General features: G+C 38.7%; 1 protein-coding gene and 1 pseudogene across 32 annotated transcripts in view; both read left to right on the forward strand.

The window, feature by feature from the left end:
- The window catches only part of FRMD6 (FERM domain containing 6), a 334,297-nt gene extending 309,748 nt beyond the window's left edge, over positions 1 to 24,549 (forward strand). For 25 of the 32 annotated variants that reach the window (XM_047430922.1, XM_047430931.1, XM_047430926.1 and 22 more), the window contains 8 exons: positions 1,900 to 2,055; positions 5,353 to 5,418; positions 6,305 to 6,373; positions 9,147 to 9,321; positions 13,877 to 14,212; positions 15,771 to 15,902; positions 19,601 to 19,692; positions 21,567 to 24,549. In XM_047430922.1, the coding sequence (XP_047286878.1) occupies positions 1,900 to 2,055; positions 5,353 to 5,418; positions 6,305 to 6,373; positions 9,147 to 9,321; positions 13,877 to 14,212; positions 15,771 to 15,902; positions 19,601 to 19,692; positions 21,567 to 21,851 (1,311 nt within the window). In that variant the 3' untranslated portion in view covers positions 21,852 to 24,549. Of the gene's footprint in view, positions 1 to 1,899; positions 2,056 to 5,352; positions 5,419 to 6,304; positions 6,374 to 9,146; positions 9,322 to 11,104; positions 11,171 to 13,876; positions 14,213 to 15,770; positions 15,903 to 19,600; positions 19,693 to 21,426 lie in introns of those variants that run through there. The other 7 variants (XM_047430938.1, XM_017020967.2, XM_017020968.3 and 4 more) reach the window with 3 other exon arrangements.
- On the forward strand, positions 17,925 to 18,030 carry RNU6-301P (RNA, U6 small nuclear 301, pseudogene; annotated as a pseudogene).
- Positions 24,550 to 26,876: the final 2,327 nt, after the last annotated feature.

Here is a 26,876-nt window from a genome sequence, read left to right on the forward strand (position 1 = left end):
CTGTGCTTGAATACCAATCACCCAGCTTAAGAAATAAAATTATCTTCTATTTTTATTGCCATTAGCCTTCCTAAATGTCCATTGCCTCCTCTCCCTGTCTTAGCTCCTGCTGTTTCTAGGTTCGTGTTCTCAGCAGCACTGTTGCAGAAACTTGTCCCTGCTTCGGTCTTTACTCCACAGCTTGCAGATGAGATGATTTTGCTTCTGACTTAAACTTTCAGGGCCTCCTCTGTCACCTGTGGAGTGAAGCTCAGGCTCCCATGCATAACCTAGAAACTCTCCAGATTATAGTCCCTGCCAGCCATTCCAGCTTCCTTTCTGGTTGTCCTGCACCTTGAACTTTAGGCTCTGGCAACATCCAGCCATTGGTGTGTCTCCATACTTACTGTGGTGTTTCATGCTTCAGGTCTTTCTTCTTGCAGTTCCTTTAGCCAGTGAAGCCCCTCTCTGTTTCACCTGGCTAACTCCTACTCATCCTCCGAGACTCAGCCCAGGTGTCGCTCCTTCTGGGCAGACCATCTAGGTGCCCAGTGCTCAAGAAGAACCTGGGAATAGTGTTTTACATCTTATTTTAAAATGATTTATTTCTTGCTCCCAGTAAACTGTTTCTTAGTGTGTTCTGAAAGACGGGCATAACCTTAACCTTTTCTATTTCATCAGCTCTTCATATTGAGGTACTCAGTAATTTTTTGTTGTGTGACTTAGAGTGCTTCATTTTTTTGGAGAGAAATCACAATGTCTGTCAAACTATTGCTGTCTGTAGCATGTTTGCATTCTCTGGTTGTCATCAGGTGCTCATTGAATATTGATTATTGAAATCCAGTTAGTATGCCAGGGCAACCAGTGTGCTGAGATATCAGTTTCCCCCACCCTTGGGATCACCAAAGCCATCTGCTTTAGTGCCCTTACAAATACTGTTTTCAGTGTGCTTTTGACCTGAAAAAAAGGTTGATAAATAACTGATTTAACTGATTACCATGTGAAAAGAACCTGGAAAGAAAAATCTGTGTAACTTGAGTTCTTAGCAGAACTTGACAACTGACTATTAATTCATCATATTTAATTCTCTGTAAAATATTCAATAGGAAGAAACAAAATGTCAATATAAAGACATTTTAAAACCAAAAAGTCTGTAATTTTTAAATTTTGATTATTTTAAGCACGACTCTTGCTCACATTGCATAATTCTTTCCATCTGTTAAGTTCCTTATGGAATCAGCTAAGACTTTAATCAACACCTTTCTCTTAGCCTGCAGCTGCTGGATACTATATATTTGACATCTGAAAGCCCAGAGTACTGTCTGATGAAAATCTAAGTCACAGTGAATCACAATGAGTGTTTGAATGAAACGGTTTTCTCATAAGTATTCCAGCAGTGTTCATATCAGCCTCTTATGCAAGAACCAAAAATGTTTTAGAGAATTTCTCCCAGTACCCTGCCTTCTTTTGATTAACATTTAGAACCTCCCAGTCTGTGGCTGAAATTTTCTTAAGAGTTAGGTAGGATCCAGAACCTGAAGATGTGCCTACTATAGATGTATTTCATGGTACCAAGTATAAACTTGCAAGTATAAACAATTATGTGTACAAAATTATGAAAGTTTGTGTAGTGTTTTTCTCTTGGTGACTTTAAAGCAAAGATAACTTATTTTTCCTATTTGTTGTGATTTTTCTTCTTAGGTATTCAGCAGTACAACTAAATTGACTCTATAGCTTCTAGTATTAGCTGATTTAGCCTAGTAACATAACAGATGGTGAAAACAGAATGAATTTTCAATGCAAACCAACCAGTTTACATGGCCTATTTTAGCTTCTCATTCTTTCATCATTTTGGGGGTGGGGGTAGAACTTACATCTCTCCAACAAATGTTGCATTGCACACCCCTTGTATCCCAACAGGTTGTTTCCAAGAGGGGGAAGGACTACATCCTGAAGCACATTCCAAACATGCACAAAGATCAGTTTGCACTAACAGCTTCCGAAGCTCATCTTAAATATATCAAAGAGGCTGTCCGACTGGATGACGTCGCTGTTCATTACTACAGATTGTATAAGGTATGAAACGGCAACTAAGTCTTCAGCTTCTGAGAAAAAAACATCTTCTCAATAGGATTGAGAAGGAAAACCGAAGGATTTCATTTCCATTAAAACTTATTTCATTTTTTACATGCTTTTAAAAGAGTTTCATTGAACTGCTTTTTGTTATCGCACGTCAGTCTTGGAGGCCATGGTGCTTTTACTCTGGCCTGGAAGCGGGGTGGAGTATTTTTTAATGGTTCTAATAGTGAGATGACAATTGGCTATAAGATGTTAATCTGACTTTTTTAGTGATTATGGCATTGTTATTTCTCTCCTCCCCAAATCTGCTTTTCTGCTTTGGGGAATAGCATTTGCAACTTCTTTGATAAGTAATTTTTAATATTCCTCAAAGTGAAGCTATACCTGCGTTGTATCCGTCAGTTACAAGAACATTACCACAACAGGTAATGTTTATGGAGTCCTGTGTTTACTGGGCACACTTTATATGTGTTTTTTTTAATCCTCATAACTTTATATGAAAGGTACTTTAATCTTTATTTTACAGTCCAGGAAACTGAGGCTTAAAGAGATTAAATGAATCACCTAAGATCACAAAACTAAATGGCAAAGCCAGGATTTAGTCAAGGCCTTCTTGATAACATAGGCTGTGAGCCTAAGGCACTGTATTCCACACGTTCCTCACTCTCGGAAGTTACTCTCCTTTGTGTCCCGTGTATCTCTAGCCTCGTTTTTCCTTTCTGGGGCAGAGGTCACACACCCAAATAACAACTGGGGCCATGCTCTGCAGGGAATCACTCACAGTACTCTATATCATCTTGTCTTCTCTTCCCCTCCTCCTCCTAACCCCTTTCACTATTCCATAAGTGCCACTTTGTTGGCAAGAACTCCTGAATACCCACTTAAGTATTCAAAGGTGTATTCTCAAACCAAATGGATGAAGTGGTTAAGAGCACTGTAAGTTGAGCCTAACTGCCTAGGATTGAATCTCAGTTTGGCCTCTTACTATGTGACCTCAGGCAAGTTACTTACTTAACCGCTCTGTACTTCAGTTTCCCCATAGTTAAAGGGGACAGCAACATACCTGCTTTTTAGGATTGCTGAATACTAAAGGAATTGTTGGATGAAAAACTGCTTAAAACAGTGCCCAGCACATGTTAAGCATGATGTTAAGTTGGCTGCTGTTACCATTACCATTGATAGTATTATGCTTGTTATCTCTACTTTGCCTTTTGTGGTAGGATTAGCATAGCTAGACCATTGGAAACTGGGCTTTAGTTTGGATGTATTGCTCAGTAATCTTGTTAGCTGGTTCAGAAAACTTAAGGGACCAACTGATGTTTTTTCTATCTCTCTTCTATGCCCAAGAGATGCATTATTAATGCCCCATCTTCCTTGAAAGGCATAATTGAGTTCCATAAGATCTGTTTGGCTAAATTCCTAAAGGACTGAGTTGTAATTTTTTTTTAGCCTGAAGAGATTTTATTTGTGACACCTCAATTGACACAAGAAAATGCAAATAAATGACAGTTTTGATAATTAGTTTATATTTTAAAATGTATTAGAAGTATGAATGATATGTTGGAAAGAGTAAGAGTGTGGCTTTGGAATCAGATGTCAATTAGAAACCCTATGTCACTACTCGCTATAGCTGGGATCCTAGGCAACTATAATCCTGAGCTGTCTATTAAGTGGGGATGATACAATATGCTTCACAAGGTTGGGAGGCTTTGGTGAGATAATGAATCTGAAATAATGAGGTGGAATACCTGGCACATTAGTGAGTGCTCAATAACCATTAATTGCTTTTTGCCTTATTTGCTGGGGAAGCTTGCTATTTTAAAGAATCCTATTAAGAAATAAGAATCTTTTGTTGAAGTAGATATCCCCAATTTATCTTCTGTGTAAAACTTAATTTTCAAGTTTACTTAAAGTATGGCGCTTCTGAATTGCATAGAAAATGACTCTTATCTGCTAAAAAGATTTTTAGTAAAAATGTAACATAATGAAGTGGGGGAAAAGATATTGGCTGATTCACAGTTTTTATTCTTTGGAGAAATTCAGCGGCAGCCATTAAATCTGCTTCATTTAGGAGCTGCTCATAAACGGGAAATAAGGTAGACAAAGGACAAGGGAACATTCTGGAAAAAAAACCCGTTTTGTGCCCCTTTCCCACCAATATATACCGTATACTTGAAAACCAGCATTTTTATGAGCATAGCCTTATTTTGGAAAGCAATCTGTACATCCTTGAAAGCGAAATTGACCAAAACTCATATAATGATGGATTAGTTTCTCCTCTTAAAGCTTATGCTATATGTGTTTTTCTTGATGTAAAAATATACTAGTTGGAAAGAAACAGCCTAAATAGTAGAAATAGGCTGTGTCTTATATTTATAATGCCAGGTGAGGACACATGTTTTAAAAATATTTCATCCCATGTTCATGGGAAAGCTGGCACTAAGCTTAAAAAGATCTCTGCATACTCATTGTGTTTATTGGGAAATCTCATAATGAAAATATTTACTTAGTAATTTCATTTCTATTTTGAACTTTATACACTATATATACTTATTACAGATGAGCACTTAAAGGATGTGGCTGAATTTTAAAGTGAATTTTTAATTGTGGAGGTTTTTTTTTCCCCTTATGCTCATTGTAGTTTATTTTCTACAGTTTATGGTTTAGCTGGTAGATTGTGTATCATATTGGCAAGTGATCATTGAACTTCTTAAAAATAAGTATTTCCAAACTATCTGAATACACCGCTTGTACAGCTTTATTATCCTCATGAGAGAGCCTTAAATATTTGGTCACTTGCCCCTAATTTTGGCTACAGAGCTGGAAGATGTGCCCAGTTTTAAACATATAAAGTCTTATGCATCTCAGAATATAACTATTACATTTGATTTAAGATTCTAACATCTGAGAAAAGAGTAATTATGAGATGGAAGGTCAAAAAAATCAAACAATGCAAAAGCAGCAAAAATAGCCTTGTTAACTGGAGTTGTCAATAACAAGTATTTAGAATATTGTCAGATACAAAAGTGTATGTAATATAGTGAAAACACTAAAACTTTGAAATCTCAGGAATTTAAAAAGTAGAATATACCATTCTTGATTTAATATGTGCCCATGGTTTTCTTAATTCTTGTAGGAAACTAGGTATGTGGAAAGGCTTGAGCAAAGTTATTTTAAGTCAAAAACTTTTCAGTCCTGAATTTCAATCCTGAAATGTTTCTTTGGTGCTAAATTGTCCACTGTAGAAAAAATATATAAAAACATTTAATTTTTTATAAAATCCTATTCCTACAGGATAAAAGGGAAATTGAAGCATCGCTGACTCTTGGATTGACCATGAGGGGAATACAGATTTTTCAGGTTGGTAAATGAGAATTGTGTCAAATGCTGTCAGCCATGTCTTCTGTTTACAGCATGCCTCTGTGGTCCTGCCACAGGTTCAGTAGTTCATTTTTGGCCACTGGCTGGTCATCATTTCCCATTTGTCTAGCACAGATGTGGATGATGTAGGATGGATGAAGTGACTCAGCCTGATTGTTGACAGTAATAAGAAATAACAGAAAACAATAAGTAATAAGAAATAACAGAAAACAATAAGTCAAAGATTAGCCCAGGTTCATCACTAACAGGTCACTAACAGATCATTAATATCCAAACGTTTCTGTGTGTCAGTGATTTTAAATATTCTTTTATCCTTTGGAGCATTTGTAAGTGGAAAGAAAAACAACATTTTAATATTGTGCCTGACCAGACGTTTTAATTTCCGTTATACTTTAGTGATGAAACTTACCCCTTAAATAAGTAGAAACTGTCACCTTTTAGCAGGTGAGACAGTGTTATCCTGCAGCCATCAAAAAGGGAGACAGATACCTCTTTCAGCAAGACACAGGAAAGTGAAAGGATGTCTTATCTTTGATGTAGGCAAAATATCCAGTTATGAAAGTCTGAGCGCCTTATTGCATCTCTTGAATACCTGAGTCCTTTGGACTTTTTATTTAAATTTAGGCATACACCAGAAGGGAAAAGATTGCCTTAAAAGGGTTAGTTAATACAGTCACACAGGAACCAAAAGCCACAGAATTGTTATCATGAATCTTTTAATTATTGTCTGTATTTCTCCAAAGAGATGTGGGGGCTTTTTTCAGATTTTAATTACTGTATTTTGGTTTTCAGGGAAAGAAGTTAGAGCCATTTTACAGTATCTATCATTTTTCCCATTAACTCCATATGCATATTCTTTTCACAGAATTTAGATGAAGAGAAACAATTACTTTATGATTTCCCCTGGACAAATGTTGGAAAATTGGTGTTTGTGGTAAGTTTAAAATAACTGGCTTAAAAGAAAAGTCTCATTAATTGCTTACTTTTTTGGGTTTCTGTTATTTTTTGTTTTGTTTTTAAACAATATTGTCTCAGGCACAAAAGCTGTTATTTTTAAGAAGTTGACACTGAAGATAATTTGCTTTCTTGTATTCTAATGCATGTGCTATAGATTCTTTGTCACACATATCAGTAGTGAACTTAAAATCAAAGAATCTTACAGTAAAGACTCTTATAGCAAAAGAAGTTAGTAATTTTAATTTATGTTTGGTCCGTAGCACATGACCCTAAGTTATTCTAGTTGCAGAAGGTATTTCGCGTAGAGGTTAGCCAGTTCTTTTGAAAGTTACCTCTCTTGAGCAAAGAATAAAGAATTATATAAAAAGATGTTTCTATTAATATTTGACTATTTAAAACCCATTATTTTAAAGAGAGGTCTGCAGTTCTTAACATGAAAAATACTCTTACAATATTGAGAATGATACATTTTCTTTTGTTAGAGCAACGTCTTGATTTTTCCCAAGTATTTCTCTTTTGCCAGCTATATCCGTTTTTTGGTAGGGTTCAAAGAATTATAGTTAATAATGTGTACATTTGGTCATAAAAATTCATAGTTCTGGCCGGGCACAGTGGCTCACTCCTATAATCCCAGCCACTTTGGGAGGCCAAGGTGAGCAGATCACCTGAGGTCAGGAGTTCGAGACCAGTCTGGCCAACATGGTGAAATCCTGTCTCTACTAAAAATACAAAAATTAGTTGGGCATAGTGGTGGGCACCTGTAATCCCAGCTACTCAGGAGGCTGAGGCATGGGAATCTCTTGAACCCGAGAGGCGATGGTTGCCATGAGCCAAGACCGCACCATTGCACTCCAGCCTAGGTAACAAGAGTGCAACTCCATCTCAAAAAAAAAAAAAAAAAAATCGTAGTTCTGCTTTGTTCAGAAATTACTGAAAAAAATACATGAGGAAAGGAAGATAAGGATTTGTAGACATGGGCTTCTCTCCTGTAAGAAAGATGGCCTATGTAAATAAAGGGCCATTTCTCCTGCTGGGATATATAGCTCCATGAGGCTATATTGCAAATAGAATGTGGGCATTGACTCCATGCTGCCCTGTAAGTCAAAAGATGTGTTTCTGACTTCACATTACTTTAATTACTTGGGCACGATTCAATCTGATTTCACTTTACTTATACATTACATGGGGCCTAACCTGTCTCCTCCTAACTGGCTCTTTTTTGTTTCAAGCTATTTGTGAAAGGATCTGAGCTGTTTGAAAATGAGCAAATTATGACGCACTTGCCCCTTTCATGCCCCAAATTAAGTTATAATAAAGTACATTTATGAAATTGAGGGTTTTTTAGGGTCCTGGACTTGTTGCTTGCTGAATCTGTTTGTGTATTGCCCTTATCTGAGGAGTCTTCTTTAAAGATACATATTTTTGGGCCTCATGCTCCTCCTCCAGGAGATTTTTGACTCAGTGGGTCTGGAGTAGAGATGAGGAATCTATTTTGACAAGTTTCTCAGATGATGCTTCTTGAAGCCAACTCAGCTCTGCCTAGCTGTATGACCTTGAGCAAGTTACATAAACTCTGTGCCTTGGTTTCATTCTAAAATGTAGATAATTAACTCCCTCCCTAGACTTGCTTTGAGGATTAAATGAGTGGATACATGCTTAGTGCTCAATAAATGTCAGTTGTTACTATTTCAGTATTGGGGTCCACTGGTAGTTCCTTTAAAATGAGGGAAATCTCAGAGATTTAAAAAAAAAACACCTCCACCTTATCCCTGCCTGGGCTATACAAGCCCATACTGCTCCATACAGACCTTAAGGTGTGTAGTTAGAATATGTCTCCGTTCTTGCTTTACCTCCACTCTCTGGCTGAGAATCATTATATCTGAAATACTCCTTTTTGTATTTCGGCTGCCCTATTCATTATTAGGAAAGTTAAAAGAGTTCATAATATCCCATAACTGTAAGAAACTTTGTCAAAGCCTTGCCCTCAACTTAGGACTTTATCTTAGTGATCAGATTTGAAGAATGAGACTCCTTATATGTCTACTGATAGCTGTTCTTGTTCTTTCCCATCTCATACCTCCAACTACCAGCTCTCTCTATGTTTAGCTAGGGAAGTTTTCCATTTCTTCTAAACCCCAAATAGATATCCTGTATTGTTCACTATATAACTCCTTATTTATTTCCAATAATTTATCATAAACTTATTATTTTGTGTGTTTCTTTGCCATTTCTCCTGCTGGGATATATAGCTCCATGAGGGTAGGAACCTTGTCTGTCGTATTCACTGCCTATTTTTTTTTCAGTGCCTAGCAAGGTGTTTGGTACATTTTAAGTGTTCAATAAATATTTTAGAATTGGTAAATAATTTAGAATCTTTTAGAATTGGTTGCCTTGTTGCTGAGTTAGGGTGTTGGGATTATATTTGATGGTTCTTTTATGATGGACCCTTCTCTTCTGCATTATACAAATAACCTGACCAGCCAGAGAAACCAAAGATATTCCTCAGCTGTTTTGGATAGTCAGTGTTTACTGACAGACCCTTGTGGCTAGATGCTTTCCTGAATTTCTGGTCATCCCCTGTCCTGTGACATTTTTGAAAGGAAAAACAATAATTTATCCCACAAGGAATTTTAAATGAAACTTTATACATTTCAGAATCTATAATTTTCCTTACTAAATAGGAAACAAAGGGGACTTTGGCAAATCAGAGATTTTTCTTCCTGAATTTGATTCATGGTTTCCTTCCAAAGGGTAAGAAATTTGAGATTTTGCCAGATGGCTTGCCTTCTGCCCGGAAGCTCATATACTACACGGGGTGCCCCATGCGCTCCAGACACCTCCTGCAACTTCTGAGCAACAGCCACCGCCTCTATATGAATCTGCAGCCTGTCCTGCGCCATATCCGGAAGCTGGAGGAAAACGAAGGTATTGCAGGGTCTGGGGTGTGGAAGCAAATTGTACCTTTGCCACCTGTGGCCTCTTACTCTGAATGGGGGTTTTGAGCTCCTACAGAATTGGATTTTGGGACTGGGACACTCCAGATTGAGAGCAGCATTACTATTTACATCTCAGTATTTCCAGAAGGCAAAGGGTTAGGCTTGAGCCCCACCTACTGTAGCACTTATTCAGAATATCTGAGGTGACTGCATTTAGCTATCTCTCAAGTACAGTCTCTAAGGTTTTCCCATGCCTGACTTGAAAATACTTGCAAAAAGCCACCCATAAAGGCACAGGGCAAGGGTTTATCTGCAACTCAGATTTTATCTGCATTTTAGAGCTTTGTATTTACACTGACCCACCTTAGTGCTATTATCCACAGGTGGTCTGGAATTCTTTCCAATGTGATTATTTCTTAGGGTTAGAGTGACAATAAAGGTAGGTCACAGATGTGTCTGCAGCCTCTGATTGACGGCTGGGAGGCCCCCAAGTCTGTTCTAGCAAGAGTGCCAAACAAAGGAGAGGGAAGTCAGCTGGTCCTGTGGGGCCTTTGCTGAGATGCAGATGAAATAAAGCAGTCTGTCTGGGGCCTCAGAGTACTGGACCCTGAAACGGGGATCATGTCAGGGTGGGAAAGAAGGCAGTGCTAAGGGTCTGTAACATCCGACTTCAACTTTACATTAATCTGATAGCCCTTTATCTTGAGTTGTGGCACCCTGGATTTCCTCCATTTAACACACCCCAACCCTAATCCTCAAAACTGCTACATTACGTATTTGGGTTTGTTTTTTTTTTTAATGCTTTGGGGTTTTGTTTATGCTTTCAAAGATTTGTTTTGCAAAAATTAGTTTTATAAATTCATGTTGTAGTAATATCTAACAGTAATTTGATTAGATTGGATTTGGTGTATTTGTGTGAATATCAGGGTGAAGATTCATATTTTAGGTTCATGTCTGAGACAAGTTTTGACACCTCAGACCTCATCTTTCCTTTAGAAACCAGGCAAATACCCATCCTTTCTTAAACAAACAAAAGACCTTGTAGAGGTTTGTGCTTCTGATAGATTTCTCTCAAAAATTCTCTGTCAATCCAAATGAGACCCGGTTTGGCAATTCTTTTGTAATTTCGTAGCGATTAGAACATGAATCATTCCTCACTGTCTGCCACAAACTGCCTGTGTCTTCAGAGAGAATTGGTATAACTGTCAGGTGTATTGGCTTCAGCTGCTGCTAGACTGCCACTTCTTCCCCACGATGACTCATCAGTGTAACAAATATATCTCTCCTATGCTGACATGAATATGAAAAGGAATTCAGATGGGGACAGGAGGAGGATGAAGAAGCAGGAGAACCTGTGAGAATAGGTGACATAATTACGTGCAGAGCCCATAATTTGCCAAGTCAGCTTCATTCCTAAACGTCTAACATGGCACCTTGAGAAGTTGATTTGTTCTATCAGCTTTCTGCCTGCAGCATTTTAGTACATTTTTTTTGTTCAGATGACCTTAAGAGATCCCTTCAGAGCCTTAAAGAATTAATGACCTTCCTCTATAGGTTCTAAGGTAAAAATTGCAAAGAATTTTGAGTTTTCAGAGAGACAGGGCGTTGTTCATTGCCAACCATAGTACCAAGTGTATTCGGAGGCTTAAGTGAGTAGGTGTCTTTGTTTGTTTTGTGCTGCTGTAACAAAAGACCACAGACTAGGTAAGTTCTAAAGAACAGAACTTTATTTCCTCACAGTTCTAGAGGCTGGGAAGTCCGGGATTGAGGGGCCAGCATCTACCAAGGGCCTTCTTGTTACTTCATCCCATGATGGAAGGTGGAAGGGTAAAGAGAGGGTGAGAAAGAGTAAAAGGGGGCCAAACTCCGCCTCTCATAATGAACCCACTACTGCAATAATGGCACTAACCCATTCATGAAAGCAGAGCTCTCATGATCTAATCATCTCTTTAAACTCCCATGTCTTACTACTATGATATTTGATATCATATGATTTATGATAGCAATTAGATTTCAACCTGAGTTTAGGAGGGAACAGACATTCAAACCATAGCAGTAGAGGAATGAAGAAATGACACATGCTTAGTTTCTTCTACTTAGGGGTTTTCCAGGTCTGAAAAAGGCCTGAAATTAAGTTTCTCTGGGTCAACTTTGGCCTGAATCCAAGATCTCACCCCCATTTAAGGGCTTTATCATTTTAACATGAAAAGCCCTTTTTTGGGCATTAGTTTAGCAAAAAACAGCATAAAAAGAGTCTGTGTTTTTCTTAATTTTATGTAGAGTCACCTTGTCTAAAACACTATTTTAGCATTTTAGTAGAAAATGATCACAAGGATTTTTCCATAGGGTTTAGAAGAGAAACAAAAACATGCCTTGCGTCATTTAAAAAAATGTTAAAGCCTAACTTTATTCAACAGCTGGAGCTTATTCCTAGGATAAGTATTCACATTTACTGCATTATTTTCCAAAGTAGCGTATGAAAAACCTCATTGTCTCTGGGCTTTTACAACAGAGGGAGTAAAAAGAGCACAGGCATGTTGATGATCTGCACTGTTGACACCAGTGATTATTAGGGGGATGAGAGGTTGCATTTTACATTTCTTAGAAAACATTTCAGAATTATTTAATGTTTCTCTCAGTTTGTAACTGAACGGTGTGAAGCTTCCTAAATGTCTGGAAAGGGTCTGGTACAGCACTAGGGAGGGAAGAGAAGCCAGCCATGTGGAACACCCAGGCCATGCTAACATGTTGACAGGAATAGGTAGAAAACAGGCTGGCAAGTACTTGTCTTCTCGTGAGCATACTAGTGAATATAGAGGAACTATAGTGATCTCTGAACCTATCAGGAAGTTGAGAGTAAAAAGGCTATATGTAAAGATACAGAAAAGCTTTTAAATTATTAGGTCCACAGTTCCTAATTATTTTAGAACAATGGAACTCCAACAACTTAGAGACTTTTACTTTTTTCTCTTCACTTGCCACTCATCCAAGGGCCACATGGCTATTGCTGTGAAACCACAGTGAATAAAAACTACAGTAATTTTTGCAAACTGCTTTAGCTGTCCACCTTCATCTCACACCTGCTGATTCAGAAGATGGGGATTGTTAGGCCCCAGTCTGCTCCCTGACAAGTTGTACATGGATGCATTTTTGTTGTGATGATATGTGCGTGGAGCTCTGGTGTCTGGTTTCAGCCTGCTTTCTCTGTAGCAACACATACTCACCTTTGTGTTTCAGCCAGTTCCTTAGAACAATGTGAATAGGCTGGAACCTGGAAATGTGCACATAGCCTTCTCCAAGCATTTTTTTTTTGCATTTTGCATCCTAGAAGGCGCATCTTTTCTTTCTCCTCCTGCTCATTTTCTCTCTAGGGACCCTGTGATGATTATACTTCCGAGCTGGATTCAGACATCAGGCATGCAAGTATTTTCACTTAACCAAGAAACAAGACAATTAAAATCCATTAACAGGCCCCTGAGAACCCAATTAGTCTACTAGTTTCTAAAATCAGATCAACTTCACATTCCCCAAATGCACTCTCCATTTTTAACATTGTTTTATTGTATTATTTCTCACCAGTATTAAAAAGGCAAGGAATCTAAACTTCTTCCTTGTTTTACATTTCTGACCTGAAAGACAAGAATAATATTTTTGTGTCAGTTGAGTTGTAACTGGCAGCTGGGTTGTAACTTTGTGCCTTAATGGAATGGTTAGTTTATATGTAATAAAAGAGACTTTGCAGTGTTGTGTGTTTGACTGCGTTAAAGAACAGCACTGACATGTGAAATCAAAGAACAGCTTTACCAGTCAGAGTTGGAAATCATCAAACCAGTAGTGATTACTGGTATTTTCTAAGTAGATGATAAAGCCTCACTAATTCAGCCTAAGTGGAGAAAATCAATCTTATATTAATGAAAATCCAAATTTTAGAATATTCACAAGAAATTCTCAGAAGAATAGTTTTATTTTAAATTGTATTCAGCAGCTAGAGCTAAGCTAACAGTGGAACAAATTGAACAAATGAACAAATAAAATGAATGGCAATTAGCATAATTGTATTTATTAAGTAGTCTTCTAGAGCAGTGCTTCTGAAATTATCTGCAGAAAAGGGCCAGATTTTTAAAATATTTAATATGCTATGGATACTTTCGCAAAATACAAAATCACATTGGTGGCTGTCATGGCAATGTCACATAGCTCTGGAAGTTTCTAAATGTTCATATCACTCACTGAATTTATTTCACTATGGACCAATAAATTTGCAGACAAGAAGTGGTCTGTAACTGCACTTTAAATACCACTCTTCTTATACTGCTTGAAGCTTTCAAAAAACTAAGTAGTTTAAATATCCCCCTCAAATCTGTTGCACTGGTTTTTATTCATTTTTCAGTCTTCTGAAGTCAAATTCCTATCTAAATTATTACTACTTTCCAATCACTAGATTCTGAATTTGAAGTTATCCTTGTTCTTGGCCTGATGAGTCACTTAAGCTCACCAGCCGTTCCTTCTGTCTTGGTTAATGAACTGTGTTCCCCACCACGTAGAGAAGAAGCAGTACCGGGAATCTTACATCAGTGACAACCTGGACCTCGACATGGACCAGCTGGAAAAACGGTCGCGGGCCAGCGGGAGCAGTGCGGGCAGCATGAAACACAAGCGCCTGTCCCGTCATTCCACCGCCAGCCACAGCAGTTCCCACACCTCGGGCATTGAGGCAGACACCAAGCCCCGGGACACGGGGCCAGAAGACAGCTACTCCAGCAGTGCCATCCACCGCAAGCTGAAAACCTGCAGCTCAATGACCAGTCATGGCAGCTCCCACACCTCAGGGGTGGAGAGTGGCGGCAAAGACCGGCTGGAAGAGGACTTACAGGACGATGGTAACAGTACTGTCCCCTCACTGGCTCTCTGTTTAGTCTCCCAGTTTTTTCAAGCATTGGTTCTATAGAACTGGTGTCTGGAGAGCAACTTTAGGCAGTAGTAATAAAGTGGAAGAGGTGTCTTGTTGTCTTCCCCAATGACTTGGTTGAGTTGCTTGTGTTTGGCTGTGAACAAAACATCCCTCTAGTTGTGATCCTTTGCGGCCACAAGACTGGATGGTTGTAGACTCAGTCTTAGCTGTTTCTATGAAGTAGATTGGAAATTAGTCCTGCTGCCCTTGTGTCTGTATTTCTGCTTCCCAGATTAAATAAAACAGTGGTTAGGACAGCACAGTGGAGTGCAGTAATAGTGACAGAAACATCTTGAACTTCTGGACCCCTCCCCACAAAGTAAAGATTGGAGTCCATGCCATTGAGTTACTTAGTAATGTTTTTCTGAAGCGCCTCCCATGTAACCAGAACTATAGGGAGGATAAAAGAAATATAGCACCTGGTTGATAGGAACTTACTGCATGTTAAGGAGATAAGATGAATCCTATGGCTTATCTTAGCCAAACTTAACATTTGTGTCCCTCTTTTATATTATTTTTCTGTCTCAAATAAGTGCTGTAGCATTCAGGCTTGACGGAAAAGATAGACTTTGTTAAAGAAAAGTGCAGACCATCTTTTTGGTTTCTGTAGAATTTGTGTGGCTCTCAAGTCACTCAGTGCCCTTCAGAATAGGCAGCTATGGACATGGGGGGCTTTGTGAACTGTCATCTGCCTGTGTCAGTGAGCCTTGCTTTGGTATCAGGCAAAGGGCCCATCAGTTTCGGTTTGTCCTTTGTCATTGCAGCAAGGTGGTATAGTTTTTCTTCTTAAAAAATACAGAATAATGGGCAAATTATAGTATTAAAACACATATAGGTAATGCAGCAATCCGATAAGAAAGAACAAGTAGGCCAGGCATGGTGGCTCACACTTGTAATCCTGGCACTTTGGGAGGCCAAGGCAGGCGGATCACGAGGTCAAGAGATCAAGGCCATTCTGGCCAACATGATGAAACCTCATCTCTGCTAAAAATACAAAAATTGGATGGGCGTAGTGGCGCGCGTCTTCAGTCCCAGCTACTCGGGAGGCTGAGGCAGGAGAATCGCTTGAACCCAGGAGGCGGAGGTTGCAGTGAGCGGAGATCACACCACTCCAGCCTGGTGACAGAGTGAGACTTCGTCTCAAAAAGAAAGAAATTGAGAAAGAAAGAGAGGGAGGGAGGGAGGGAAGGAAGGAAGGAAGGAACAAGTAGTACCTGTTGAAAATGGTCCCAGGAAGGAAGGAAGGAAGGAAGGAAGGGAGGGAGGAAGGGAGGGAGGAAGGAAGGGAGGAAGGAAGGAGGGAAGGAGGGAAGGAGTAAACAAGTAGTACCTGTTGAAAATGGTCCCTGGAGTTTCCTATTGGAGTCTCATTAGCAAATTTATTTTCAAATAGGAATAATTACATAGCCACCCTCAAAATATGGTTGCATATTATGATGGTCATTTCCCTTTTTGTCATTAACTATCTTTTCCTTCTTCTGTGTCAGAAATAGAGATGTTGGTTGATGACCCCCGGGATCTGGAGCAGATGAATGAAGAGTCTCTGGAAGTCAGCCCAGACATGTGCATCTACATCACAGAGGACATGCTCATGTCGCGGAAGCTGAATGGACACTCTGGTGAGCTCTTACGGGAAGTTATTCTTCCTTGGTAGCAGGTTATCCAGGACTGAAAAACACATGCCTCAGAAAATAGAAGGGGTGAGCTGGGGGCCCTAGACCAGAGACTGGACTGCACTAAGAGTCTCTTCAGGTCAGTGTTGTAAACTGCAGGATCCTGTGCCTTCTGTGGAAGGCAGGGAAGAGGAGAAACACCCAGGACTGGGAATTAGCATTTTGTGCTCCATGCTTTGGACAAAAGGTAGTTGAACAGTAGGGTTCTCTTTATGTTATGCTGTGTCGAGAATCATATAATGTATCTGGAAGGCCTTGTAGACCCCTTCAGTCTGGCCTCCTTTTTACAGATAAGTTAACCTATAGTTCAAAGAGGACAAATCCAACATGGCTAGAAACAGAAGTAGGCCTCCAGGTTTTTGGGGTTTTTTTGTTTTTTGTTTTTCCCACTGTGTTATACTGGTAGAGGAGTCTGGGAGGAAAAGTGTCAAAATGGGTTGACCTAAAAAGACACTCTTAAATTCCATATTCGTATGAATTCCTGTAGAAAACATGCATTCCCTATAGTTATATAATACATCATATATATTTCTGTTACATGTAAGATACTATCTTTAAAAAACGGCAGCAGTATCAGTTTTGTTTATAGACATCAGTCAGATCTAACTGCTTTTGTCACACATCATGAATCAGTCTGTTCTTTAGAGAAATATGCCTCAGGAACCAGCACTATTGAAATGGCCCCTTCCAGCTTTGATTGAATGAAGGGCCTGACTGAGGTAGCCTGTCCCTGCTCTGGCAAATCCACAGCTCCTGATGTTCATCGAGCCTCCTCCTCCAGGTGCCAGGCACTGGAAATCAGAGAGGAACCAGACCGATACACAGTCACTACCATCCTGGCACTTAGTCTTCAAGAGCAGGAGGCATCTTTTATTTCAGAATTCTGTTCGCTAACCCAACAGAACCCTGGCTTCCCAGACCTGCCTGTAGCTGCAGGGAATCATCTCTCTGACCAACACTGACTCATTAGGCTGCTTACCCTAAACATGCTTAGAGTTCATATACCAAACTTTGCCCCTTTTTGCCCATGTACTTTATGATATTGAATTTTCTCCTATAATTACATTTTAATTTAAATTCACAATTATATGCACATTATAGGTCCATGTATATAGCTCTGTGTGTTTATGCTTGTGGAAAGGAAATGGTCTAAAAACTGTGTATGCCGCAGTGCCTTTGGGAAGGGAGGTATGAGGGAAGCTGACCTGGACTTTGCGTTTATATATTTCTGCATTTAATTTTTATAAGACTGTTAATTTTAAATAGAAATAAAATTTAAGTAAAAAGCCTGGCTGTTTAAGAAGATTTATATATAAAAAAAGTTTGTTGAAATGTTATAAAAATAATTAAAGAATGAGTGGTAAGGCCAGGTGTGGTGGCTCACACGTATAATCCCAGCACTTTGGGAGGCCAAGGTGGGTGGATCACCTGAGGTCAGGAGTTGGAGATCAGCCTGGCCAACGTGGTGAAACCCCATCTCTACTAAAATGCAAAAAAAAAAAATTAGCTGCAGGCCTGTAATCCCAGCTACATGGGTGGCTGGGGCAGGAGAATCGCTTGAACCCAGGAGGCAGAGGTTGCAGTGACCCAAGATTGTGTCACTGTACTCCATCCTGGGCAAAAGAGTGAGACTCTGTCAAAAAAAAAAAAAAGAAAAAGAACAAGTGGTTAAATTATACCTTATTCATACAATGGTATATAACCATTAAATTCGAGATTTTCAAACAATATTTAATAACATAAGAAGGATAGTTAAGGTAAATAGTAAAAATTATATAAAATGTCATCTAATTAAAAACAAGAATATTTATTTGTGTATTTTAAAAACGTAAAACTATTAATAGCCTTTTATTTGGATGTTAGGGTTATAGATATAGATGATTTTATTTTCTTTCTTACATCATCTTAGTTTTCTAAATTCTCTATTAATTTGAGCATTTAAACGTTGCTTATAAAACATTCAGCTAAGTACTCGCCTTGGCAGCACATACACTAAAGTTGCAGTGATACAGAGAAGATTAGCATGGCCCCTGGGCAAGGATGACATGCAAATTTGTGAAGTGTTCCATATCTTTAAAAAAAAAAAAAACACTCAGCTAAGATTGAGTAGTGATGAAGTATACCACACTGTCTTTCATTCTTACAGAGTTTGATAGGAGTTGGTTAAGTGTTTTGAGCATCAGCTCGGTGTTGACTTTTCCAGTGGTGGGTCTGAGTTTGGAGAATACTCTTTACAGGCATGATAGCTGAGGGCACATTTACCAGGAAATCGAAAAGGAACCATGACAACTTGTTTAAAGGTTTAATGCTCTTTAGAAGATAAAGATCGTTCTAGATCCTCTACTAAAGCCATTTGTACTAACTCCTAAAACATGAGTATCCCCTGAGTTTTTAAAGTGTCTACTTGTAAACCAGTAATGTCTTCATATTTCATGTTTCAATTGAACTAATTATTGAATACTTAATATGTTTATGGCATATGCTAGACACTGAGTCATTATGAGATGTTTCTAAAGAGTTAAGGGATAGAACACAAGTCATTCTGTAGACTACTAGCAGTAGTTGAATAAGAATCACATTACTTAAAGGGTTTTTTGTTTTTTTTTTTTAAGAAGCCATTTGGCCTTATGGATCTAGGGCTTGACCTGTAGTACACTTGCTTCATCCATTGGCAAGAAAAATTTCAGCGGTGTTCACTTACACCTCTAGTTCTTATTGGTAATTTTACCTTCTGAGACATGTTTCTACTCAGTGCTTCACTCATATGCCAGTCACATAGGGAAATGTCAGCCCTGGATTTCTGCTTCTGAAATTTTGGCGGGTTTCCACCGAGTGCTAAAGTGCTTAGGTTAGGTGCTCTGTTGTTCTCAAAGACCCAGTACTGAATTTTCACTGTGGCCTCCCAGTTTGTCTCCTCCCAGGGGGATCTGCTGCAGGAGGTATGTGCCAAGTGTCCCATCACCCAAAAAGAGCTGCTGTGAACTGAGTGTATCCATGTATAGTCCCTGTACCTCACCCTTTTATGCATTCACTGTGTAATTATTAAAACTAGCAGGCAGGTGCTGTTATTGGCCCGATTTTATACGAGAAGGAGACTGAGACACTGGGAGGCTAAGTAACTGGCCAGGACACATGGCTAATTAGTTATCTGGGCCAGGATCCAGCCAGATCTATCTGACTTCAGAGGCCAGAGCCCCCACAATTCACCACTATACATCCAAGCCGAACCAAATCTAGAAGGCATGTGTTCAGTAAGGGTTAAGTTTAATGTTGCTGCTGAATAGAAAGGGGAAGAGGGGAAGCTTTATGAGATGCAGTAAAGAGGCTGCTTTATACCTATAGTCTTTGCTTCTTTTCTATAACTTCATCATAAATAGCTTAATTAGAAGTTTGTTTTAGAAAATTCAGACTAAACATCTTCTTACACTCTAACCCTACTTTGACTCATTAACCTCTATTTACTGTAAGATGAGAGAGAGTGTGTGTGCTGTTCTGGTTGTCTGCCACCAAAGAGTCACAGTGAAACTTTTTGGTAATGGTTAATATTTGATTTTTCATTCCTGATAGCAATATGTCAGAATATATGGCAAGAGGTGTGAATAATTTGAAGTATTTATTGTTTTTATCTCTGTGTTTTATTTCAGGGTTGATTGTGAAAGAAATTGGGTCTTCCACCTCGAGCTCTTCAGAAACAGTTGTTAAGCTTCGTGGCCAGAGTACTGATTCTCTTCCACAGGTATTAAAGGAATTGAAAAATATCAGTTAGGAAACTGAAGTTATAGAAAATTTTAAGTAGTAACTTACATTTATACAAATGAGCAAAAATTAAAAACCCTAAGGAAATGATCCTTCCTAGATACGTACATTCTAGCTTTATTCTGAATTTATTTCCATCTTATTTGCTAGTTCTGCTTATCTTTGAGTTGATTTTTACTTAGATAAGTTATAGATTTTGCTTCACATTTTATATGGTTGGGAAGCCTCTGTTCTTCAGGCTTCAGGCGAACCACGTGTGCACATGCATGTGTCTGTGTGTGTTGCTTGTCCTCAACCTGGGAGAATAATATTTTTTGTCAGTGTGTTCTGGCAGAAATGTTTCCACACTCTGGTTATTCCATTCAGATTGAATTTTCAAAGTATGCTGAGCCTAGAGCATTTGACAACCTGTGATCATTGGTTAAACTATTAAATGTCCAGCAATATAGATAAAATACTCTGAAACTCATGGTTTCAGCATTTGGATGTAATGTATGACTAATGGCCCTAATTCCTGAGCACTTCCTCCCTCCTCCTGCCTTTCTTTCTTGGGCTCTCTTTGTGTCTTGTTTTTTTCCCTTCTGTGTGTGTTTCTCTTTTTTCATTTGCATTCTGGCTCTCCTTGTCCCTACTTTTCTCTTCCTCTTTCCTCCCTTTTTTCTCATTTGTCTTTTCTTTCTCTTACTTGCGTTGAAGTAACCATAATGTGAAAATGATGTTTATGAAATATTTTCCTGAAAACTGCAATGAGTAATCTACTCTTAAGAGATGTTTCTGGGGCACAGCTGATAGTCAGATTCCACACCTACACTATGGGGAGAACTTTGTGTGCCTTCCTTGAGAGTTTGTGGGGATGACCAAATGATTCTATGTGTGAAATCCTGTTGGAGTCTGGGAAGACAGCATCAGCACAAGGGATCACTCGGATGTGACACTTCCTAGTAAAACATGCTTCTGGAACTTTTGCCTCTAGCAAAAATTGTATCTTATTCTAACAGGGTTGTCCTTTGTGGTGGGAAGCAGCAAAATTTAAAGATATAATACCTGGTTTCCTTAAATAACCCATTGCATATCTTCCATTCATATAATTATCAGAATCATTTTTAACCTATTTCTAATACCACCTCTTGGGATAATAAAAAAAAGTCTGCCCCCTGCTGTGTACAGCATTTGGCGGAACCCCCCCACCCCCGACTCGTGTTCGGGAACTTAGTCCTGGTGCCTGCCTCCCAGCCTCTTCAACACCAAGAACACCCTATATCCTACCCAGCACCAAGAACACTTTATATTCAACCCAAGAATTCTGGCCTTTTAAAGAGAAAAACTGTGTTTCTTGGTAATAATTGGTTTATTTTCCTATTTCTTAATAAAATAATAACAGACCTTGGCCTAAAAGGTCTGAATTGCCATATCCTACTGAAAAAAAAAAAGGAAGCCATGTCTTTACCTATATGACCTTATTTCAAGATAATTACTTGATTTCTGAAATGCTAGGGATAGTTGGATTCCTGTTGTATTTGCACCTCTGTGCTTTGGATTATTTGTAAAATGAGGAGAATGATAGTGCCTGCTTCCTAGGACTGTTAGGAAGATTAAATGAGTTAATGCATGCCGAGTATTTAGGTCAGGGCCTGGCACATAGTAATTGCTCGGTAAATGTTAGCTGCTATTATTACTGATGGAGGTGGTGTTGATGATATATTTCCCCATACAGCCCAGAAACCACAGATTGGAAACCACTTTCTAACATGTAAGGATTACTTAACCTTTTGTGGTTCTGTAGCATCTCTCTTTACAAGGCAAATATTCTAACCTTTCACTTTAAAGTTGTTTCATCCTTCCCTTATCTTGCAGACTATATGTCGGAAACCAAAGACCTCCACTGATCGACACAGCTTGAGCCTCGATGACATCAGACTTTACCAGAAAGACTTCCTGCGCATTGCAGGTCTGTGTCAGGACACTGCTCAGAGTTACACCTTTGGATGTGGCCATGAACTGGATGAGGAAGGCCTCTATTGCAACAGTTGCTTGGCCCAGCAGTGCATCAACATCCAAGATGCTTTTCCAGTCAAAAGAACCAGCAAATACTTTTCTCTGGATCTCACTCATGATGAAGTTCCAGAGTTTGTTGTGTAAAGTCCGTCTGTGTGCAGCTGTACAGGCAGCTTACTGTTTGCTAGAGGATGCGAAAGTCATAAGTTCTTTACATATTACTTGTGCCATATCTTCTTCACCCTAAACATAGCTCTTTCTTTATAATATTTGTGATGATGGAAACAAAAGCCTTGGAACAATTGCACTTTAAGTATTACACAGAAGTAAAAGAACTACAGAAAATGTACAGCAAGACAAGTGCCCGGAAGTTCACTGATCCTTCAGAAGGAAATGCGCTTTACTGATTGCAAAGCCTTCAGAATATTGGAGTGTGGTGTGTTTGCTCATCTGATGCTTTTTAGTTCAGTTACATGTAACATCACATTTTTTTATCACGTGAAAGATGTTAGATTTGTTTGCTTATAAATTTTTTACCACTCCCACATAAAATGCTCATAGTTTGGGAGAGGAAAGAGGGAAGATTCTCTCTTCTTTTAACAGAGAGATGATTGCTCTGTATACCCATTGCTTCCTCCCTGAGGCTGTCCCAAAGTGAACACTGATGGAGTGGTCAAAATCATAAGGTTGTAGCAAGCCAAAGATACGTATGTGACAGAAGCACATAAGCAATAAGCAGAAAACCAGAAGTGCATGCTGTGATGCCTGTGACTCCTTCATCCCGCTCAGTGCCATGTCCTCTTTTGTGATCTTCCAGAAAGCTCCAGGATTCATTTGAGTTCCACATCCAAGTAACAGATGAATTATATTCATGTTGTAATGCATTTTGTGGAGTTTACAAAACCAGTGTCTGTTAAAACTTTGGAAAATGTCTTAGAAAACGTTGGTGCTTGGTGATGCTTTATTTGTTTAATTATCAAGAACAAATTATGGCAATGCTAGTTTCTGCTTAACCAAAATACTCTGTGTATATATTATACATATATAAATACATGGGATTGTGTATGTCTATATGTGTTTAAAGCTTACTATGTCTTCATTTTGGCTTCCATGACTATCTTTTATACATGGAATTCCTTAAGATTGAGAATATGTCACTGAGTGAATGATACCTGCAGACAGTCAGTTGATATATGTAGAGTTCAGAATGACTGTTTTCTCATGTGCCTTTGGCCATGATTCTCAACACTGATTGTATAACAGAATTTTGGGGGGAGCTTTTAAAAAATAATGACTGAGTCTCCCACCAGACCGATTACATCATTCTCTTGTGGCGGGACCCAAGTAGAATTGCCTTTTCTTTTAAAGTTCTCCAGATGGAGCTAATATGCAACAAAGTTGAAAACCACTGATCCTGGGGGTGTCTTGTTAATTTTGAAGTAAAAGTGTACAGAAGACGTAGTGTATGAGAAAGGGCCATTTTTAAGACAGTTACCTGTTGTGCTGCTGTTACAATATATAATGAAACCAAGTCAGGGGAGTGAATTTATCAATCTTTTGATGTAAAGTAAAAACGTAGTTCACACTTCAGGAGAGAACTTCATAGCACAATGTCTTTCTATAAGATATTTTTAATGATTTAGTATTTTACAACATTTGTTTACCATATTTTGATATACCATTTTTTTCTATCTGCCCAGTTTTATTAAAAAAACTATATATTATTTTCTAAAGAAACAATCATATTTTTATACAAAATTATGTTTTCAGGTAACGAAATAGATGTAGGGTACAGTGGAACATAAGCAGTGTTACCCCTGGCTGGGAGTCAGTATTATACAACAAATGGTGAGCTGGAACATGCCCTGTCTGTGCTGTCCCTCCTGTGCTGGGTCGCGGATGTGTAGGCAACATTGCCTTATCACGCTAGGTTCACCTGACACTTTAAAAGGAAAAAAAGTTCCATAGAGTTCTGTGGTCACAAAATTGTTTTGCTTTTATCAAATACTTTAATAGAACCAAAGTTGCAGATATTGGAATGTATGGAAGTATCTCAGTCTCTGCATAAGAGGATTAAAGTATGAAAGGATCATTTAATGACTGTTTTACTTATAAGTCATTAAGTAATCCACCATTTCTTATGGATGATGCTTAAGCCTGGTGAGGTTTGTACTCTAAGGAGCCCAGATCATAATGCAGTGCATTTCCTTAGCCCTTAGAGTTTCTTGCAAACATTTAAAAAAAGACATATTTAAGAAAGAAAGATAAAGAAAAAACATATTTAATTACTGTAAACAGGTACTGCTTTATGTTTATTTTCTCTCTACTTCAACCAAAATCAGATCTTTGAGGTTTTGCTGACATTGTTGGTGGTTTTGCACATGTTCTTTCTAATTGGATTTATGAATAGTTCTATGGGTTTTCAAAGATGAATCATGCTAAGAACACTTCTGCTTTTTGATCCACTGTTTGCAGCAGAATTATATATATGTATAGGAAAAATCCACTTTGAATAATCCATGTTTTGTATTTGGAAATTGTTTTTAAAAATAAAAAGGAAAGGAAATATATAAAGCTGTTATTTATTCTGCATTTCTTACATATCTATCGCTTGTCAGTATACCCGTTTTGGTATATATTGCCTCTGCACATCTACATTTGTATATGCAACAGTGAGCTTTATATCTACATAAACTGTAAATAATCCTTTCTGTGAAAGGATCATCATATCAAGATGATACCAAAAGTATGTAAAAAGAAACCTGCATTATTTTGTAATTATTTCTTATAGATATTTCATGGTAAGATTAGCAGTCAATAAAGTTACTTTTTTGCCTTTAAATTGCCTTTTTGATTATTAGAGCTCTCAAGCGAGAAGCATTAAGGAGTGACAGTGTTTTCTTCATGTTCTTTGCTGTAATGGAGCACAGTAAAGGACAACAAGGTTCCATGTGATAGAATTCCAAGTAAAACAGTCCTGGTGGTGACGATGGTAATAACTGATGCTGAGTACTACCATGTGCCAGACCCAGTTTCACATGTATTCAGATTTCATGTGTTCAGTCATTTAATCCTCATATCCCCAGAAGGCAGGTACTATTATTATTCTTAGTTGCAGATGTGAAGGAATCAAGCTTCCAGGAGTTTGTGGTAGTCAGCCACTGTTGAGTTCAAATTATGGAGCTGAAAAAAACTCTCCTTTAAAAGGAAATATTTTAACCAAAATAAGTAACTTAAACCTGAAAACCGTCATCATTGGACTGTTGGTTTAATTATAAAATAAACAAATGGTTGCATTTAAAAGCATGCATTCACAAAGCTGAACGTGAGGGCAGCATGGCATTAAGGAAAGAGCCCAGAGTTGAGAGTCAACAGCATTCCGAAAAGCCCCAGCTCTTTTTCTGAAGGGAAATCCATTACCTTCTCTTTGCGCCACTTCTCTTGGCCAAAAAATGGAGTTAATAATTTAAAGGACTGTTTGGAGAATTAGATAAGGTAATGGTTGAGTATGCCCCTGATGACTAGGTGGGAAAAGGAGGGCTGTCAAATCTGACATTTAACTTTTGTGAAACAGAGCCATTTGGATTCACACGGTCCAAAACAAGTTTTCTAGTCAAGTGTTACGAATTTTGCAGTGTCTGATAAATTGTGATTTGGAGTCCAGGAAAGAAAATACTTGGTACCTACTATGCATCTAATAGTACAAACACCGTGTCTAATCCTCACAACCCTTCAAGGAGTTGTCTGTCACTCGCATTTCACAGCTGAGGAAACAGTTAAACTTGCCCACGACTCTACAGCTAGTGAGTGGTAAAGCAGAGTTTTAAACCCAAACTTTTCTCCAAAAGCCTTGCTTTTTTTTTTTATACTGTATACAGTTGTTACCCACTGCCCTTAAAGAAAGATCAGAGCCTAATAGGGAAGACAGACTCCAATTTTGATAGCGGATAAATGAAATTTATTTGCTAACTTCGTAATTTTTTTGAGCATCTACTGTGTGCCAGACTATATAGAGGGCTTATATAGGCATTGCTTTGGCCAAGAGGCAGTAAAGACCTGGGAGGTGGGGAATGGGAGGCAGGAAGATCAGAGAAGCTTTTACTGGAAAGGCAATTTTATTTGCATGGGGACTTCTGGCAGGATGGAGTAAGGGGCAAACTATCCAGGCAAAAGCTTAGAAGGTGGAGATAACAGTGGTCAGTCAAGGGACCTGCAAGAACCTCAAGGGGCCTTTTGGCTTGAGTAATCATGCTCCAATCTAGCCATGAAAGCCTTGGACGCCCAAATGAGGACACTGAGTTTTTTCTGGACAGAACGGAGCTATAAAAGGAAGAGACGTGTGTTTGGGGCTTGAGAGAAATAATGAGAGCCATGCTAACAAAAGGTGGGGAGACAGTTGGAAGGTGATGAGGGTCTGAACTGAGGGTGTTGTAGCAAAGAAAAAAGGAAAACATTCAAAAGCAGAACCAAGGGACTGTGTTACACACAAACAGAAGGTTGTCATCTCCTAAACTAAATACAACCAGAGAAGTAGGCAATCTTCCCTTACTTGGCAAAGTCCTTGGGAAGACTAGAGTTAAGTACTACTTTATAATATGAATTAAAATCCACTCGATAAATTTGTTGAGTGTTAAAAATTGGCACAATGGCTACAACTGCTCTAGTCTATGGCAGTGGTTCTCAAACCTGACTGCATGTTAGAATGACCTAGAGAGTTTAAAACAGTATAGTCTGGGTCCCAGCCCAAAGCTTCTGATATATTTGGTCTCAGGGTAGTTCCACAAGTGATGCTAATGTGCATCAGGGTTGCAACCCATGGGTCTATAACATGAGCCCGAGCCATATAGACCAGGCAGGCTATCTGCTCCTGAACTGGTATGATCTACAGTTAGGATGGATCGGGTCTCCAGAGTGTCTGGGTATATTGCATTTTGTTAGAATGACGTTTTCTTTTGCCAATAAAGCTGTCAGAGAGTGGACCAGTGTTTGAGTGGGGCAGTCAACTCACCATTTCAGAAAGTCTGAATACACCCACATTCTAGAGATCAGGGTGTTACATATGACTGGCTAAGTATGAGGGTGGGGATAATGTGAGTATGGTAAAATATTTAAAAATCTCCTCCCTATCATTCTTGTATTTGCCTTGTCATTTCTCTAGTGCTTTATACA

This window comes from Homo sapiens, chromosome 14, assembly GCF_000001405.40.
Source record: "Homo sapiens chromosome 14, GRCh38.p14 Primary Assembly".
NCBI classification, from domain to species: Eukaryota; Metazoa; Chordata; class Mammalia; order Primates; family Hominidae; genus Homo; species Homo sapiens.